The sequence below is a fragment of the Homo sapiens genome, chromosome 5 (genome assembly GCF_000001405.40).
Source record: "Homo sapiens chromosome 5, GRCh38.p14 Primary Assembly".
NCBI lineage: Eukaryota > Metazoa > Chordata > Mammalia > Primates > Hominidae > Homo > Homo sapiens.
The window spans coordinates 83,426,094-83,445,272 of record NC_000005.10 but is presented as its reverse complement, the minus strand read 5'-3'; the positions used below and the strand labels follow the sequence as shown (position 1 = coordinate 83,445,272).

The window sequence follows — 19,179 nt, the reverse complement described above, 5'->3', positions numbered from 1 at the left end:
AGCAGTGCTTGACACACAAATATCCTGAAAAATTGGTGAAAAAATGAATAGAGAGAAAGAACACATATGGTTTCTATTTCAGAGATACTTTGATTCCCTCTCAGCCCTGAAAATGAGGTTAAAATTGTTAGTGCACCTATTTTCTCCTTATTGAAAAATTATTCCTGGATATATAAGGGTTGAAATAGCAGCAGGCTGCCCAGGTTCAAAACATGGCTTTACCATTTTAGTAGCTGAATACACTTCGAAAAGTTACTTAATTTCACCCTTTCTCAAAAAAAGAAGTCCTCAGTCTACTCATTTGTCGAATAGGGATTGTAACACTACTTACCTCATAGAGTTGTTGTGAGAATTGATGGGTATAACATACACACAAGACTTTGCCCAAGGCCCAGCACAGGGTAACTGCTCTCATAAATAACCAATTATCAGGCTAGTGTCTACTGATCTGTTTTCATTTTTAAAAGCTGAGAAAAAAAACTCTGTGGCTTTTTTTAAAAAACAGCTTTATTGAGATATAAGTATTAATATGTAAATAATTATGATTGCTATATTATAATTTTTAATCATGATAAATAGGGATTCAGAGTTTTCTGGAGATAGATGGTGGTAATGATGGCACAATAATATGAGTGTACTTAATGCCACTCAACGGTACACTTAAAAAGCGTTAAAATGCAATGGTAATTTTATGATATGTATATTTTACCACAATTTAAATATACATACATATATACATATGTATATATTTATGTATTTAATTTTATTTATACATTTGTATATATACATATGTATATATTTATGTATTTAATTTAAATATACATATATATATATATATACACACACACACATATATATACATATACAAAATTTTTTTTTGAGACAGAATTTCGCTTTTGTCACCCAGGCTGGAGTACAGTGGTGTGGTGTAATCTTGGCTCACTGCAACCTCTGCCTTCTGGGTTCAAGCAATTCTCCTGCCTCAGCCTCTGAGTAGCTGGGATTACAGGTGTGCACCAGCATGCCTGGATAATTTTTGTATTTTTAGTAGAGACGGGGTTTTGCCATGTTGGCCAGGCTGGTCTCGAACTCCTGACCTCAGGTGATCCACCCGCCTCGGCCTTCCAAATTGCTGCAATTACAGGTGTGAGCCACCATTACTGGCTAAAAAATATTTTTAAGTGACATAGAAGAAACTTCACATATTAAAAGTGTACATTTTTGACAACTATTGACATATGTATGTACTCATGACACCATAACCACAGTAAAAATAATAAACATATCTATCTATTCATTGTGTCCCTTTGTAATCACTCCCTCCCAGCACCTCTGCCCCCACCGTCAGGCACCCACTGATCTTCTTTCTGTCACTTTAGATTAGTGTACATTTTCTAGAATTTTATATAAATGCAATCAGTCTGTACTCTTTTGCTCCTTTCTCTAAGATTTATCCATGCTATTATATCAACAGATCATTCCTTTTTACTGGTGTAGTATTCCATTGCATAGATGATATCACAGTGTGTTTATCCACTCACTTATTCATGGACATTTGGGTTATTTCCAGTTTTTTGGCCATTGCAAATAAAGATGCTATGAACATTTGTGTATGTCTTTCTACGGACATATGCTTTCATTCTCTTGAGTAAACAACTAGGAGTGCAATATCCAGGCCTTATGATAGATATATGTTTAACTGTTTAAGAAACTGGTAAACTTTTCCAAAGTCGTCTTGCTCTTTACAGAACTAACAGCAGAGCATGCAAGTTGGTTCCTCCACAACCTAGACAGTTGGCAACATGGCCTGAAAACTCTCTCTAGACAGTAAACTGGGACAATGATAAAGCTCACCTTGTTTATTTCCTGCCTCTCACTGTCATCCAGTGACATTTCTTACCTGACATCCAGTTACGTGAAAGCCATTGTTTAATATATTTTGTCCAGTTTTTTGGTTGTTTCTGGCAGGAAGACAGATCCAAGCCATTTTATTTCATCTTGATCAGAATTATGTCCTCATTCTTATGGTGTGAATAGTTTAATTTTTTACGAACACCAAGAAAGGTGTGATCATCAACAGAAATTGCAGTCATACGTCATGTTATCTTATATTTCAGTTTACAGTTGGCACCAAATAGTCTACAATTCATTTTGTGTTGCATTTGGGTATTGAATCTTTATTATGAAGTAAGTTGAACTTAAGCAAATGCAATTTCTCATCTATTAATTTGGGGAAAAGAGAAGAAAAGGGGATATATCACTCTTCGCTGGCCAGTTAGTTGATTTTACATTACTTGCATTAGCAACAGAAATGACAGTGGAATATAGAGTTGTTCAGTGCTAAATTCAGTAAATTGTAAGAATATAATCCATGAAAGTTGTTGTTGATTCAGTTTAGGTACATTATTAGAAACCCAGTTACATATCAGCTGAGCTGCAAGGGATTCTTGTAAGGAATTTTCGTTTTATTTTACTTTGTGTCTCATGTGGTTCGTCAAGAAACTCTCTCATTAAATAGGGTCTGTAAAGGACCTGCTTGCCCTAAGCACCCTGGTGGATCATTAACAGATACTCTATTATGCTTTGCATCTTATCTGGTGTCAACAGGGCACTTTATCTGGTTAAGAGTATATTTCCTGGCTTTGGGGAATTACTGCAAGCTCATGTAGCCCTCCAACAACCCCCTCAAAAAAGTCATCTCCTGAGACACTCTGATCTGAGCCATTGGCTGTCATTTTCTGGGAAGTCAGAGGAGAGCTAATGGGCTTGTGGCTATGAGTTTTATAATTAATGTACATTTGGCCCGGCACAGCGACTTGTGCTTGCATCCTAGCGCTTTGGGAAGCAGAGGTAGGAGTATCACTTGAGCCCAAGAGTTTGAGACCAGCCTGAGCAACAAAGAGAGACCCTGTCTTGACAAATAGCTTTAAAAAATTAAAAATTAGCCATGCACGGTGGCATGCACCTACAGTCCCAGCTACTTGGGAGGTTGAGGTGGGAAGATCTCTTGAGCTCAGAAGTTCAAGGTGGCACTGAACCATGATCACACCACTGCACTCCAGTCCAGGTGACAGGGTGAGCCCATATCTCAAAAAAAATTTTTTAAATAATAAAAAACAAATGTACATTTTACTATCTATTTTCCTGGGGTTATCCTTCCATCTTTACATTGCTTCAAACGAAAGCCAATTCAGATGAGAAAATTATTCTAGCCTTTGGGTGAAACAATTGACATGCATACATCCGAGGTAGTGGGGGCGGAAAGTGGCAAACCTTCTGGGGAAGTGAAATGGTTCCCAGGAGGTTGCGCAATCTCTGGGGGAGCCCCTCCCAGGTGGTGAGTGACTGGAGGCAAAGAGGAGGCCTTCAGTCCAATGTGTTCATTTATAATAAATCCCTCTAATGCAGGTTCAGACTGGGGATGGGATTGGGGAAGTGAAATACCCTTACTGTGCATAAAAGGCCTATAAATAAATGCACCCACTTTTTAAAAGCTTTAAATATAACTTTCTCAATGCCAAAGGCCCTAAATTGAGGCAAAACAAAAACAATAGTAAAAAGTGAAGAGAGAGAAAGAAGAGAAAGCCCAAGTGTTAAAGGCCAAAGTCTTTTAAAAATACAAGATCAATGCTATATCATACATTATTGAAAAATCAATTTTAACACAAAAGTACCTCTGGCCACAGAAATAACTTGCATCTTAAAATAAAAGTCAATTCATAGAACAGGAACTAAAGCCAAGTGAATGAAAACACCTTACTAGCTCACTTAGGCACTTGAGGTTGAAATAATACAAGGTGATTAACAACTCTCACTCTTCTCAGTTTATAATGCTGGCTGGCTGGGTGGCTGGAGTCAAGATGGAGAAAATGTATCTCCTCTACATACAGTAGATGGGCTTCCCCAAACTTTGGTTCTGAAGACTGTTTTATCAAGTTGAAATTAATCAAATTAGCCTAATCACTTTCCCCCTAAAGTTTGTAAAGAGTGTAACCAGATGTGAATTGCCATTAGTGATAATCATGTGGTGGATAACAATAAGAACATACTTTGGGGTGAATGAACAGGTTGGATATAACCAGTGCTGTGCCGCTATTTAACAATTTGCTCTATGGATTGGAGGTGAAGGATCCTTGATTTATTGTAGTCCCCACTATCCACATTTTTACTTTCTGTGGTTTCAGTTTCCTGTGGTCAGCTGTAGCCTGAAAGTATTAAATGGAAAATGCCAGAAAGAAACAATTTGTAAGTTTTAAGTTGCAGTCATTCTGAGTTGCATGATGAACTCTCTTGCTGGCCCACCTGGGACATGAATCATCCCTTTGCCCAGAATATGCACACTGCATATACTACCTGCCTGTTAGTCACTTAGTAGCCATCTTAGTTATCAGAGTAAAAAAACAAGGTACATATAGGGTTAGGAACTATCCACGGTTTCAGGCATCTACCGGGAGTCTTGGAATGTATCCCTTAAGAATAAAGGGGAACTATTTTGAGTGTTTGCCAATTACCATGGTTTAAATACTGCCAACAGGCCAATTTCAAGTTACCAATGTGATGTCACTGAATGCATATATGGGAAGAGATGTGCACAATTGGCTCTATACTGATGGTACAAGCTGAGTCCAGCTCATCAATGAATACAACTGAACCACTTTGAATCACTTATAAATTTTCTGCAGGTAATATGGCTTCCCATCCAAAATCTTCATCTAAAAATGCTTGATTTCCTATTGCCCCCCAATTCTCTAAATCCTGCCTTGTTTCTCATGGGCCTCCTCTGATGCCCTGCTCTATATCCTAGGTGGAATCCCATACCTTCCAACTTTCTAATCTTTATATGTCGTCCTTTTGAAAACAATCATTTAAAAAACAGTATAAATGAGAAACTCATTTCAGCACATACACTTTTCAAAAAGAAAATAATATAATAATGAAAAGACACATTATCAGTGATGTCACTCTTCAGAGATAACCACTACAAATTATTTGATGCCTGGCTTCCTAGACATTTTTATTTACATATGTTCATATATATGTGTATTATATATACACATTTATATATACAGTATATATACACATTGATATATACAGTATATATATACACAGTATATATAGAAGTGTATATGTAATACACATAAAATATGTAAATATAAATGTCAATTTATATATGAAAATATGTAAATAAATTGTAAGTTTTATGTATATAAAAGTGCATAAAATAACAAAAACTACATCATATATAATAATTTCATGACCCATTTTTAGCTTAAAAATACTATAACTTTGTAAAAGTTATAACAGAAGTACATAGAATTAAAAGGGGAAGTAATACAGTAGAAAGCAGAGAATCCAAAGTAGTTTCTTACAGCAGTAATTCTATCAACTATGTCTTGGACAAAGAATTTTCTGATCCAATAAACATTAAATATGAATTATGCTTTGAAAACTCATAATGTACATTAGCATCTTTAAGACTCAATTAGAAAAACTAGAAAAGATCTGTGTGTGTGTGTGTGTGTGTGTAAGGCAAGTTTCACAGAAAACGTTTAAACATTTTTATTAAGCTTCAGTTTGGATGTACAATGACTTATTTATCCAGTCCTGTGCTATTCATTGCTTAGGTAGTTCCAGTGAGATCCACCAAAACCAAAACTGTGAGGAACATCTCCGTAGCAAGCTGGCAAAAGTATGTATATTTTACATTTCCCTGCAGAAGTTTACCAATTAGTGCAACCACTTATCTGTGCCCTCTGAAATATTACATAGAGTATAATTTTTAGTCTACAGCAGTCAAGTGATAAATGCTTGTTCTTCTTTTAATAAGCATTTATTTGATTACCAGTCTTCTACTCTCTTCAGGCTCAACTGGAAAGAACTTTATTTGTTACATGTTATTGTTTGGGTTTGGTTTGTTGATTTGTTTTTATGTGTTTATGCATGTATTGTCCATTACCATTGTTACTGCCAGCATCTGTTAAGTGCGAATAGAAACCTGCTAGTTACATTACTAGAAATGTGGATCACTGGTACAGAGATAGTTAAAGAGCTCACAGTTATAGGAAAGAACCAAAGACAAAAATGACTGTATTCCTGCACTCTGCTTTCAAACATAATAGTATCTCAAAGAAATTTAAAGAGAATACTCCGTTTACACTTTCTATTGTCCTTCAATTTAAAATATTTTCTTCAGGGCTGGGTGTGGTGGCTCATGCCCATAATCCCAGCACTTTGGGAGGCCAAGGAGGGCAGATCACTTGAGGTCAAGGGTTCAAGACCAGCCAGGCCAACATAGTGAAACCCCGTCTCTACTAAAAATACAAAAATTAGGTGGGCATGGTGGTGGGCCCCTGTAGTCCCAGCTACTCTGGAGGCTGAAACAGGAGAATCGCTGGAACCTGGGAGGTGAAGGTTGCAGTGAGCTGAGATCGTGCCACTGCACTCCAGCCTGGGTGACACAGCAAGACTCCATCTCAAAAAACAAAAATAAAAGTAAAATACAATAAAATATTTTCTTCAAAAAGTGCTACGGTTTAGTTACCTTAAGTTCAATTAGTATCTGTGCTTGGATAAAGTTTAATATCCAAAAAGCATCTGAATTTTCCCTTAAATGTTATAATTATCTAATTTGTCTTTCAGAAAACTAGACATCTTTTGGAAAACTTTAAAAGTTACTTCATTGGGAAACACTTCTGCTTGAGTATCATTGGATCAGGTCTACTTGAGCTTACATTTTTACACCTTTTTTAAAAGCTTTTTCCTCATGGTCTCTTTTTTTTGTTTTTTTTTTGTTGTTGTTTTTTAGTATTTATTGATCATTCTTGGGTGTTTCTCAGAGAGGGGGATGTGGCAGGGTCATAGGATAATAGTGGAGAGAAAGTCAGCAGATAAACACGTGAACAAAGGTCTCTGGTTTTCCTAGGCAGAGGTCCCTGCGGCCTTCGGCTGTGTTTGTGTCCCTGGGTACTTGAGATTAGGGAGTGGTGATGACTCTTAACGAGCATGCTGCCTTCAAGCATCTGTTTAACGAGGCACATCTTGCACCGCCCTTAATCCATTTAACCCTGAGTTGACACAGCACATGTTTCAGAGAGCACAGGGTTGGGGGTAAGGTTATAGATTAACAGCATCCCAAGGCAAAAGAATTTTTCTTAGTACAGAACAAAATGGTGTCTCCTATGTCTACTTCTTTCTACACAGACACAGTAACAATCTGATCTCTCTTTCTTTTCCCCACATTTCCCCCTTGTCTTTTCGACAAAACCGCCATCGTCATCATGGCCCGTTCTCCATGGTCTGTCTCTTCGGAGCTGTTGGGTACACTTCCCAGACAGGGCGGCCAGGCAGAGGCGCACCTCACTTCCCAGACGGGGTGGCGGCCGGGCAGAGGTGCTCCTCGCTTCCCAGACGATGGGCGGCCGGGCAGAGGCGCTCCTCACCTCCCAGACGGGGCGCCTCATGGTCTCTTTTTAAAATATCTATGTGACTTTTCAACTCTAAAAAAGTATCATTTAAATGCTTCTGGATTTAATCCCCCAAAAATAAGCAGACATGACTTTTTTTAATTTAAGAAAACCCAAAAAACTATGAAGTTGAAATTAGAGAAAAAAAGTATAGTTTACTTTAAAGTGTGTGGTCATTATTAAAATAAAACTACCTTGAACTGACAGGGTGCGGTGGCTCACGCCTGTAATCCCAGCACTTTGGGAGGCCGAGGCAGGCGGATCACAAGGTCAGGAGATCAAGACCATCCTGGCTAACACGGTGAAACCCCATCTCTACTAAAAATACAAAAATTAGCCGGGCGTGGTGGCGGGTGCCTGTAATCCCAGCTACTCGGGAGGCTGAGACAGGAGAACTGCTTGTACCCAGGGGGGTGGAGGTTGCAGTGAGCCAAGATCGCGCTACTGCATTCCAGCCTGGATGACAGAGTCAGACTCTGTCTCAAAAAAAAAACAAAAAACAAAAAAAAGACCTTGAACTTTAGCATGATTTCCTTTGCCCCTACCGGTGCTTGTTTGTTGGTAATTACATAGAATAATGAATGAACTATAGACTTAGGGGACAGCAAAATAATAATTTTATTGAAATTAATTATGAATGAATTATTAAATAATCTTTCATTCTACACAAATCCCTTATTCCAAACATTTAAGTTATTGGTAAGATATAGACCTGCCTATGCCAGCTTTATATGAGATGAATATTTTTTCATATAGTTTTCAAATTTCCTAAAGTTCTATTTTAGTGAGAAAAAAATAGAGCAAAACAGTTAAATATAAACTTTAAAACAACATTCTTATTGCAATGTATGTAATTGCATTGTTTGGATTACAGTGTTTTCAAATTGTGAATCACAATTCAGCACCTATCATGCTATAACTAATAAGGCAACAGCAGTGTTGTATACTACAATAGTACTCCCTTTCTATAGTCTAGTGGAATTTCCACAATTCCACTAATTTCCACAACTAGAGCCCAGAAATGTTAGAAATCTTATCCCTACTTACATAATCTGTATACGTTTTCTAGGAGTTTTGAATTGAGGACAGAGGTCCTACATGAATCACACTATTGTAGGCCACACTAGTTACAGCAGCTATTAACGAACATCGGGGCACAACTTATATTGTGCTTACAATCAGATGACGTGATTTGGAGGGTTTCAATTCTTTGGTAACGTGTATCACGTTACCAGCAATCTTACAGAAACTTTTGATAATAATCCAAAAAATCAAGGACAACTTCATGATAGACATTCTATCAATTGATAAAGTATGTAATAACAACATGACTCGACAATTTTAAAAGGATTTATATTAAGTTAGTCACAGTGGTTTTATGTATACCTATTTATTTCTAAGCAGTCTCATGTTTCTGTTTTTAAATGATATGCTCAATAGTTTTTCTTCAACCTCTAGACAACTTTTCAGGTGCAGCATCTCTAAGTTTAAGCAATGGGTACAATCACTAATCTATAAGGACTATAACATACCATTTTCTTTATATTTCCAGACTCAAGGATACTAAAAGACCAGAGAGTCTTTCAGTTGAACACACATATATGTATACAATAATTCTACCCAAGAATGTTTTATTTTGTTTAACCTAGGATCGCCCGAACTTAATTTCTTGATAGTAAGCTCTTTCAGGGCATGGACAGTGTATACATAGCAGCTATCAAAATACCTGGCACCTATAAGTGGTCAGTAAACATCAGTTGAATGAATAAATAAATGAATGAGTGAATGAATGAAGGTTGAGAAATCAACAACTAAATATATTTGGTGCTCCACATAGAATATATTCATGAAAATGTAATTCCAAAGTGAAATTTGTTTTGACACCTGCAACAACTCAATAATATTAATATCTTCTGTAGCCTTCCAACTCTGTCTCACTCTAACACTCTTCCCCTTATTATTCTAGTTGTCATTAATCTTCTTTTCCTATGAAATTTTATAGCACTTTTAGTCTCTATCACGTAAGTTACACTAAATATACTGTCTGTATAATCCACCACGGCATGTTTAATTTATGACTATTTGGCTTCTGGTTAGGCACATTTCTTATGAATTACAAACAATAATAACAAGCATCAGCATGTAAATAATTATTTCATTATTAATAATGTTGGTATTGATTAATAATCATATGGCTCTTTATATTGATAAGGTTCATTTAAAACTATTATTTCATTTGGTTTTATAATAGCTGTACAATGGATATTGATACAATTATCCCCATTTTATAGATGGAAAAACTAAGAACCAAAGGGGTTAAGTAACATTCCAGTGATTAGATATACTCATTAAATGATGGACAAAACTTCAGCATTTATGATATCCACAGCCCTTCTTCTTGCTTCCCAGGGCTGCTTTCTGCCTTGTTCCAGGGAAGCATTGTTCTGGCATTCAGAACCCTTCCAGCGCTCCAGTCCTCCTGCCCTGTACAACTTCTTTTCCAGATGCTGGTTTCAAATCAATTAGTGGTTCAAGAAATTGAAAGGAACGAGAGAAAGAAAGAGGAAATAGAAAGATATCCAAGGGAAGTAAAGAGAAGTGGAAGATGGTAAGAAATAGAGACCCAGACTGTAAGGCTCTAGGCCTATCTGGCCAGCAGATGTGTTTTATTTGGCCAACACAGAGTGTTTTCTTTTTCAGTGAACTCATTGCCAACTTTTAAAATGGCAAATGTTCTCGTCTATATTTCTGGCTTTTCTTGAAAATATGAGAAAAGTGGCAACATTAGGCTCAAATTTCTGCATGGCAACCATTAGCTACAGCTCAGTAGTGGCTACTCTCTTAAGATAGAGCGTGCCTTCTAGTGTACCCTGGCCCTAACCCTCTCTCTTATTTAATTTCAGGTTAGCTTCACTCTTCCAGCCCCTTCAGGGATTTGTAGCTGTTTCTTCTGCATAAGGAAGTAAGATGGGCTTTATTTTACAGCCATCTCTGACTTTCTATAGAGATCTTCAGCTTTAGCAAGTAAATTTTAAGTATGCACATCTTAATCAGAGGTCTGCCTAAAAGTCAAACTCAGCCAAGTGTGGTGGCTCATGCCTGTAATCCCAGAAATTTGGGAGGCCAAGGCGGGCAGATCACCTGAGACCAGGAGTTTGAGACCAGCTTGGCCAACATGGTGAAACCCCATCTCTGCTAAAAATACAAAAAAAAAGAGAAAAAAAAAAAGTCAGGCATGGTGGCGGGCGCCTGTAATCCCAGCTACTCAGGAGGCTGAGGCAGGAGAACTGCTTGAACTCGTGAGGCGGAGGCTGCAGTGAGCCGAGATTGCACCATTGCACTTCAGCCTGGGCAACAAGAGTGAAACTCTATCTGAAAAAAAGAAAAAGTCTAACTCTTAGATGAATACATTAATTCATTGAACACATCTTTATTTATCGAATGCCTACTCTGCACCTCGCATTGTTTGGGAATTAATCTCATTATTTTTGAATTGCATCTCAAATTTTCCCCTAATACAACTATTAAAGGGAAAAAGAATGATTTCAAACAATTGATATTTGATAAAGAATAAGTCTTATGACTAAAATACAAATGCTTTTAATTAGGCACATTCAGGATCAAATTTAACAATGTATGACTTTGGCTGTGGTCATCAAATCCAAGCATAGCTTTAAGGATTCCAAAATGATGAAGTAACGTTGTAGCAGATCAAAGTGCTCAAAACAATTGATTTAGATATCTTAAAGATTTGAGGTCTTGTTTTCTCAATTGTGTTACGTATAAGAAAAACAATACAATTTTAAAATTATATTTTCCTTAAGAAGCCAGACAGACCTTGGTTTGAAGGCAACAGATGACTCAAAGCTTATTCATTTTTTTTTTTTGAAACAGAGTTTCACTCTTGTGGCCCAGGCTGGAGTGCAACAGCATGATCTTGGCTCACTGCAACCTCCGCCTCTTGGGTTCAAGCGATTCTCCTGCCTCAGCCTCCCAAATAGATGGGATTACAGGCATGCGCCACCACACCCGGCTAGTTTTGTATTTTTAGTAGAGATGGGGTTTCTCCATGTTGGTCAGGCTGGTCTCGAACTCCCGACCTCAGGTGATCCACCTGCCTCGGCCTCCCAAAGTGCTGGGATTACAGGTGTGAGCCACCACGCCTGGCCACAAAGCTTACTCTTTAATGCCTTTACTTGTTACCCAGAACTTAAGGATAAACATGGGAATGTTTCTCTAAATTTTACCATCAACCCTAGGGATCTCTTCAAAAATGCTATTACAATCCCCATAGGAACTCTACTGAATTTTATTAATCCCATATGGCTGTGCTTCTAATTTCTGATTCGTTACAGTAAAGGTAAGGCAAGAATCATGGTAAATGAAAGAAGACCATCAACAGGGTTTTATATGATTGGCTACCATGTACTACGGTGTGACTGTATGTGTCCCTCTAAAATTTATTTGTTGGAACTTAAGCCTGAAGGTTAACAGGTAGGGTGCTTGGGAGGTGATTAGGCCATGAGAGCTCTGTCCGCATGAATGGTATTAGCAACCTTATAAAAGGGCTAAAGGGAACTAGTTAGGCCCTTCTGCCTTTCCATCATGTGAAGACACTGTTCATCCCCACCAGTGGATGTAGCAACAAGGTGCCATCTTAGAAGCAGAGTCAAGCCCTGATCAAACACTGAACCTACAGGAGTCTTGATCTTGGACTTTCAGCCTCCAGATTTGTGAGAAATACATTTCTTGCTTTCAAAATTACCTAATTACTTAGTCTGTGGTATTTTGTTACAGCAGCAGGGACAGACTAAGATACCATGTGTATTAGTATCCTGTGGCTGCCATAACAAATTACTACAAACTTGGTAGTTTAAACAACAGAATGTATTCTCTCATGGGTATGAACTAGAGGCCTGAAATCAAGGTGTTTGTAGGGCTGCTCCCCTTCCAAAAGCTCTAAGAGAAGTTCTTCCAGCTTCAGGTGGCTCCAAGGGCTTCTTGGTTTGTGGCTGCATAATTTGAATCTCTGCTTCTGTTTTCACATGGCCTTCTCTGTGTCTTGTCTTCTTTTCTGTCTCTTATAAGGATACATCATAGGATTTAGGTCCATCTAGGTAATCTAGGATGGTCTCATCTTAAGATCCTTAATTAGATCTGCAAAGATACTTTTTTTCCAAATAAGGGCATATTCCCAGGTTCTGGGCATTAACACATGGGCATATTTTTTTGAAGGGGTGGGCATCATTCAACCAACTACACCATGATTCTTTATTTGACTTCTTGATATGTCTGTTAGAAACATTTATGCAATGCAGGTGTACTATTTATACCGTACTTATGATTAATTCTATACAAGGTTTAGCGTCAAGTCCCTGGTCAGCAACACATCTGCCATTATATCTATAGGAAAATTCAATTTGACTTATGATATGCCTGCTTATCTGTTTCCCATGAATGTTTATATGTTCATCTTGCCATTCAAATTTTACTGTAATCTCTCAGAATCCAAGAACTGTGCCTTATCTTTATTTCCATTTTCTACTCAACACCTAAGACAACTAATACATATGAATAGACATTTATTTATTGGCACATTGACTTTGAAATTCATGTTTGCCTATGATCTCTGTAGGAACTCTGAGTATGAAATGTATTGGAGGAACAGGAGCAGCTTTTGACTGACAGTATATATTCCTTCAGTGGGAGTGGGTAGAAGCATAAATAAGGCTAACTATAGGGTTGTAATTTCTCCATGTTTCCTCTGAGTTTTTTTTTCTTTTTGGCTGTTTGAATTGAGCTATATGCCCTCTTCTAGAAGGTACAAGCAAGAAGAGCAAGTCTATAAAACTTGTTCGTGAGCAGAAGGACAAGACTATTACTTAGAAATCTTGGCATAATCCTTTGAGTGGTTTCATTAGGAATGAGGCTCTACAGAATTGCCACTGGGAAATGTGTTTCTGGAACTCAGGGAGATTGTATTAATACCTTAGGACTGTTTCTGAAAGAGTTTATTTATTTATTTATTTATTTATTTATTTATGGAAAGAAAGAAGAAAGGAAGGTGGGGCCGGGGAGACAACTTTAATTTGAATATATATTAGGATTAATAAAAGAATTATTTTTAGGTTCAGAAAACTTCCATATTTTTTGAGATACAGTAAGAGATGTCAGAGAAAGAGAAACAAAAGTCTGTAAAGAAGTGAAGAAATTTTACACTAGGTTGATGGTTGTAGGAAATATAAATTAAAATGCCCTGAGCTGGCTAGAGGTACTTAGCAAAAAAAAAAACTAATGAAAAGAAAAAAAAGGTTTTTTAGGAAAGGCTGGAGACATACAGAGCCTCAGTGATGCAATTACAATATGAAGAGCTGGCTGCCATGGGACTGCTGGAAGGAATCATTAGCTCTGGTTAAATGAGTAAGTTTCTGCTGCAAAAATGATAAAGTACCTTAGAGGCATCAGGAGCTGGGCTAGAGGTTTGTAGCAATCCTCTTGATGTTTCATCAATTAACGAAGACCACCTTTTTCTAAGTTTCTTTGAAACTCAACAGGCAGAACTGATGGATATTTTTCTGCTAGGTAGAGAAAAAAATAACTAGTATAATCCTGTCCTTCTGTTCATTTTAAGTAGCCGTCGCTTAAATTTCCTTAAGCTCAGTGAAAACATTATCCAGGCAAAGATTCCACTTCACACTGAAGTAAATTTACTTGTCCAAAGCGCTAGATTAGTTGTCTATAATGGTTTCTCTTTAAAACAAGAAAAATTGTAAAATACTGGTCCTTTGGTGAGGAACTGGACAAAAGCTTGGGCGCTATAGTCTCTTCTGCTTATGAGACATGTGAACTCTACTATCCTTTTTCTGTCTGTCTAGCCAAGGCGTCTCCGAATGCTCAAGGATTGTTTTCAAACCAAATTGATAAGAAACTAAAAAGACTCAGTCTGAGTATGCTGGACTTTTATCTTTTTTCCTTAAAATGCCAACTACGCTGGCAATGTAAAGCAAATAGGTAAAAATTAAATCAAACATGGTTCAAATAAACACATTTTCTCTTACCAAGATAAGTATTCCTATAATTTTTAGAAAGCCAAAGAAATGACAAGGTTGAGATAGGAGTGTCAGGTGGAGGAAGGAGAAAATGAGTAGAAGCCATCAGCCACAGAGAACAAAGCGCCCTCTTGTTCCGGTGGGGAACGCACTGCCTAGGAATGTATCCACTAGGTGGCGTTTCATCTCCAGGACAGGCCAGGATTTGTCCTGTCGTTCAAAAACCAATCTGCTAAGCGTTTTGGTGGTCTTGAGAAAGGTAAATACATTTGTTTTAAAATTGTTTTTGTCTGAAAATCACAGTTTTGAATAGTGGTGAAGACAATCAAGATTTCCCATTTAGTGTGAAAATTGGGTGCCATCATTTTGGAAGATTTCATACTCAAGTATTCTGAGGATCTAGCAGGATTAAAGCATTTGGGAGCTGTACGGTCCTCTTAGAGATCACCTTACCGGTCATCCCTGTTTTGCAGATTAAAATACTGAGAGCCAGGCTTATCTTATCACTTGCCTAAGATTGTAGTATTGGGTGATGATAGAACAAGGATCAATTTCCTACAGGCAGACCAGACTCAGTGTCACCTGAGTCATCCTGATCCACGTTAAAACCTTTCATTGATAAATGTGTAATATATGCACAGTGAGTTCTAGGCACAAAGCTGCTTGCTGGGAATGCGGAAATAGAACCTGTCTAGAATCAACCCTCCAAGTATAATTGGAGAAAAAAAAAAAAGCTAACAGGCAATAACAAAACAGATAGTGCATTAAATAATGACCATGATGATGTCTGCCTGGTACCCAGGGCAGAATGTATCCTGTAAGGAGGCAGAGGCAGCCTCTGAGAAAGGTGAGATAAGGCTGAATGAATGTTTGGGAGAGGAGATGAGTTCACAAATTTTGCTTCCAGAAGGGAATATTTGCCTATTTTCTCAGCCAGGCTTTTCAGATCACAAAGCAAAGCCCCCGGGTGGGTCTCAGAGCGTAGCAATGTAATATCATCATGAAGCAAGGCATGGCTAGAGCTGCGCTGAGTCAGATGCTGACGATATTCATGATCTCTAGCTCGTATCTGGAAATGTTGTACTCAAACGAAATAGAAATATTGGCTTATTGTAGGTTTTAATTTACCAAGACTGTTCCAATAAGTCTGGTACATGCTACTTATATGGAATACTAATTTTTGAAGATATGACTTACAATGTTCTTTTTATTCTTCAAAACCGTTATGAGCTATTTTCATGAACAACTCAATATGTCATGAACCTTGGGAAGGGCTTGTGGGTTGCTGACATTATTCTATTTCTTCATCCATGTTATAGTTCCACAGTATTTTGTTTTATGATAATTTATTGTCTATGTTTTATACTTCTTTCATGCGTATTATGTTTCAGAGTCTTTTAAAGAGTTTTAAAAATGTTATGGCCTGTGTTTTTGAATTTGCAAGGCTCTCCTAGAAACACAGTAGGCTGGGCATGATGCCTCACACTTGTAATCCCAGTATTTTGGGAGGCCGAAGTGGGAGGACTGCTTGAGCCCAGGAGTTCGAGACTAGCCTGGGCAACATAGTAGGAACCTGTCTGCAAAAGCTACAAAAATTAGCCTGGCGTGGTGGCTCACATCTGTGGTCTCAGCTACTGAAGAGGCTGAGGTGGGAGGATCGCTTGAGCCCATGAGGTGGACGCTGTAGCGAGCAGTGATTGCACAACTGCACTTCCATGTGAGTGACAGAGAGAGACCCTGTCTCCAAAAAACAAGAAAGAAAAGAAAAAGGAAAAGAAAAGAAACATAGTGAAGTGCTAGCAAACTCAATAGTGGTATTCCATGAGATCCACTGACAATGAGAAACCAGTTTTCAACTATAGAATAGTAACATTTTATAGTAGCACTTTAAAAATAAAATGTTTTAGCATATATTTACACTGCCTTTTTAGTGACTTATAAGAATGTTATAAATATCTTTTTGCCTTTCCTAGACTTCTGATACCCAGAGAAGGGGATTTTGGCCTAGTTACATCATGTAAAGTAAGAAAATGAGAATTTCAAAATTGACTTGTTTTCATGTTTAAATTCTATCTTTTGAGCTTTCATTTTTTAGTCTTAGACTATCTGTCAGGAAGAATGTGTACTTGTCACACATCTGTGTGTGTGCCGTTCATTCACCTCAGAACATTTAGTTGACTTCTCTAACAGCATTTGTCCTTCTGTTAACTTACTCCAGGTGTGTTAGTGACAGGACATAGACTCAGGGGCTCCAGACCCATGTTCACTAAAACAGACCTGAGTTTTTAATTCTTTTCTGAATGTTCTGCTACTTTGAACTGGTCTCTGTGTCTCCTTTTGTTAGACTGTGTATGCATATCTCTGCTATACAATACTAAAAACAATTCATGTGAGTCTTATGCTGCCAAGGTTAGATCCAATCAAAATTTGTGGTTTCTGTTTCAAACTGACCTTGAACCTCAGTGTTTGGGCTTGTTTTAATCTTGGCAATGTTTTACTTCCTATTTCTAAGAATGAACTATTATTTGGCTCAAAAGCTTATTCTCATCTAATATCCTTAGAAAGCAAGATTATCATTATGCGAATGAATTTGGAAGATTAAACATTCATGATAACCAAATTAACCCTGGAAAAATCAAATAAGAAAAGCAAAGAAGCTGTATTCAATAAAAATCATTTGTATTGGGCCAGGCACGGTGGCTCACGCCAGTAATGCCAGCACTTTGGGAGGCCAAGGCAGGCAGATCACGAGGTCAGGAGTTCGAGAACAGCCTGGCCAACATGGTGAAACCCCATCTCTACTGAAAACACAAAAATTAGCTGGGTGTGGTGGCAGGCGCCTGTAATCCCAGCTACTTGGAAGGCTGAGGCAGGAGAATTGTTTGAACCTGGGAGGCAGAGGTTGCAATGAGCCAAGATAGCACCATTGTACTCCAGTCTGGGCAACAGGGTGAGACTCCGCCTCAAAAAAAAAAAAAAATTGTATTTTAGAAAGTCTAAAACATTAACACATAACTAATAATTTTATATGTATTTAAAATACTGAAGAGAAAACCTAGCCCTAAAACTGACATCTCAAGTATTTTACTGTCATGAAATTCTTTTATTGAGTTAAAAGAAAAAACTCAAGCTGAAAGTCAAAATACGTAGATCAAATATTCCTCTATCAATAACCAACTACTATGTAAAAGTTGCTAACCTCTGCTACTAATTTGTTTAACTTTATTTATTTATTTATTTGAGACAGAGTCTCGCTTCATTGCCCAGGCTGGAGTGCAATGGTGCCATCTCGGCTTACTGCAACCCCCGCCTTACAGGTTCAAGTGATTCTCCTGCCTCAGCCTTTGAAGTAGCTGGGATTACAGGCATGCGCCACCACACCTGACTAATTTTGTATTTTTAGTAGAGATGGGGTTTTACCATGTTGGTCAGGCTGGTCTCAAACTCCTGACCTCAGGTGATCCGCCCACCTCAGCCTCCCAAAGTGCTGGGATTATAGGCGTGAGACACCATGCCCGGCCTGTTTAACATTTTTAATAGATAAGTTAGTATCTTTTATTTTTGGTACCAAATTACTCATTGAATGGAACAGTGCAAATGTAGGAAGAAAGCAGAGGTGGATATTTTGGTAAGCCCCTGCAGAAAGTATGAAGATCACACAGATATGAAAGTACTTCATTATTCAACATGGGAAGCTATTCTCATGGCTATGGGGAAACCACCCTGAGGCTTCACTCTCATTGTCACCATCTCCCAGGTGTGCTTGTCAAAGAAACTCCAATGCCAGATTGCAGAACCCCTCTCTTGCACAAGTTTACTACATGAGTATCTATTTTAAAAATGTATTTTACCTGCTTATTTAGGTAATGTGTCTCAAGGAAGTCAAAAATATGGGAGTCAGTTTTGTCAGCGTTTAGTTTTTACAGTTCCAATAAGAACAAGATTTATACATTGTCTAGGTATTATATATATTCCATTACAATCAGCTTGCTCTCCCACTATCAAGATCAGCTTTAATAATATCCTGTGGAAAGTTTGGCCACCTTTTTGGTTCTGTAGTCCTGGTGGTAGTTTTGGGGCACCTGCAAAAATATCACCATATTAGGTAACTGAGAAGAGGTGGTTGCTGCATGGTATTGGAGTAAAGGAGCCCTTGGGGTGATTTGATCATAGAATGTGGTGGTGAAGTGGAGGCACAGACTGACTGGCTGATTAAGATCAAGCTCCAGGTTCCATCCAAGCACTGCTGAAGACTAGAAACTGTAATCATTCTCTGCATTTAGCATCTACTCACTCCCCAAAAGTTTGATGCTTTAGTTCTCCTTGTAAGAAGATAATAGTAGGCTTTTGCTTCTGGCTCTGGTGGAGTAACAAGAACCAGATACATCTTTTTTTATCCTAAACAATTAGAAAATGTCACAAAATATCTAAAACAGTGATGTCAAGACATTGGTCAAAAGAAATCACAGAGTTCACAAAGGAGTGAACTTATTCCTGGAGGCAGTTTACAGGCCACCGGGGAGAGGGGAGACTTACGAAACGTCTAAGTTTCACTGAGTTGAGGAGATAGAGTTCAGAGTTTCAGGAAGCCTAGGAAGTTAGAATTCATGAGACAGAATACCATATAGGACGGACTGTCAGGGTGGGGAGAGAATAAAAATAATAGG

General features: G+C 38.0%; 1 pseudogene, besides 2 other annotated features; it reads right to left on the bottom strand.

Annotated features, from left to right (window-relative positions):
- Positions 14,583-14,632: a silencer, noted in NCBI's record as "silent region_16153". NCBI's record gives its function as "represses an Ori minimal core promoter by ATAC-STARR-seq in GM12878 lymphoblastoid cells {active_cell/tissue: GM12878}" and the evidence as "EXISTENCE:reporter gene assay evidence [ECO:0000049][PMID:35858748]".
- Positions 18,167-18,326: an enhancer, noted in NCBI's record as "active region_22743". NCBI's record gives its function as "activates an Ori minimal core promoter by ATAC-STARR-seq in GM12878 lymphoblastoid cells {active_cell/tissue: GM12878}" and the evidence as "EXISTENCE:reporter gene assay evidence [ECO:0000049][PMID:35858748]".
- On the bottom strand, positions 18,243-18,597 carry FTH1P9 (ferritin heavy chain 1 pseudogene 9; annotated as a pseudogene).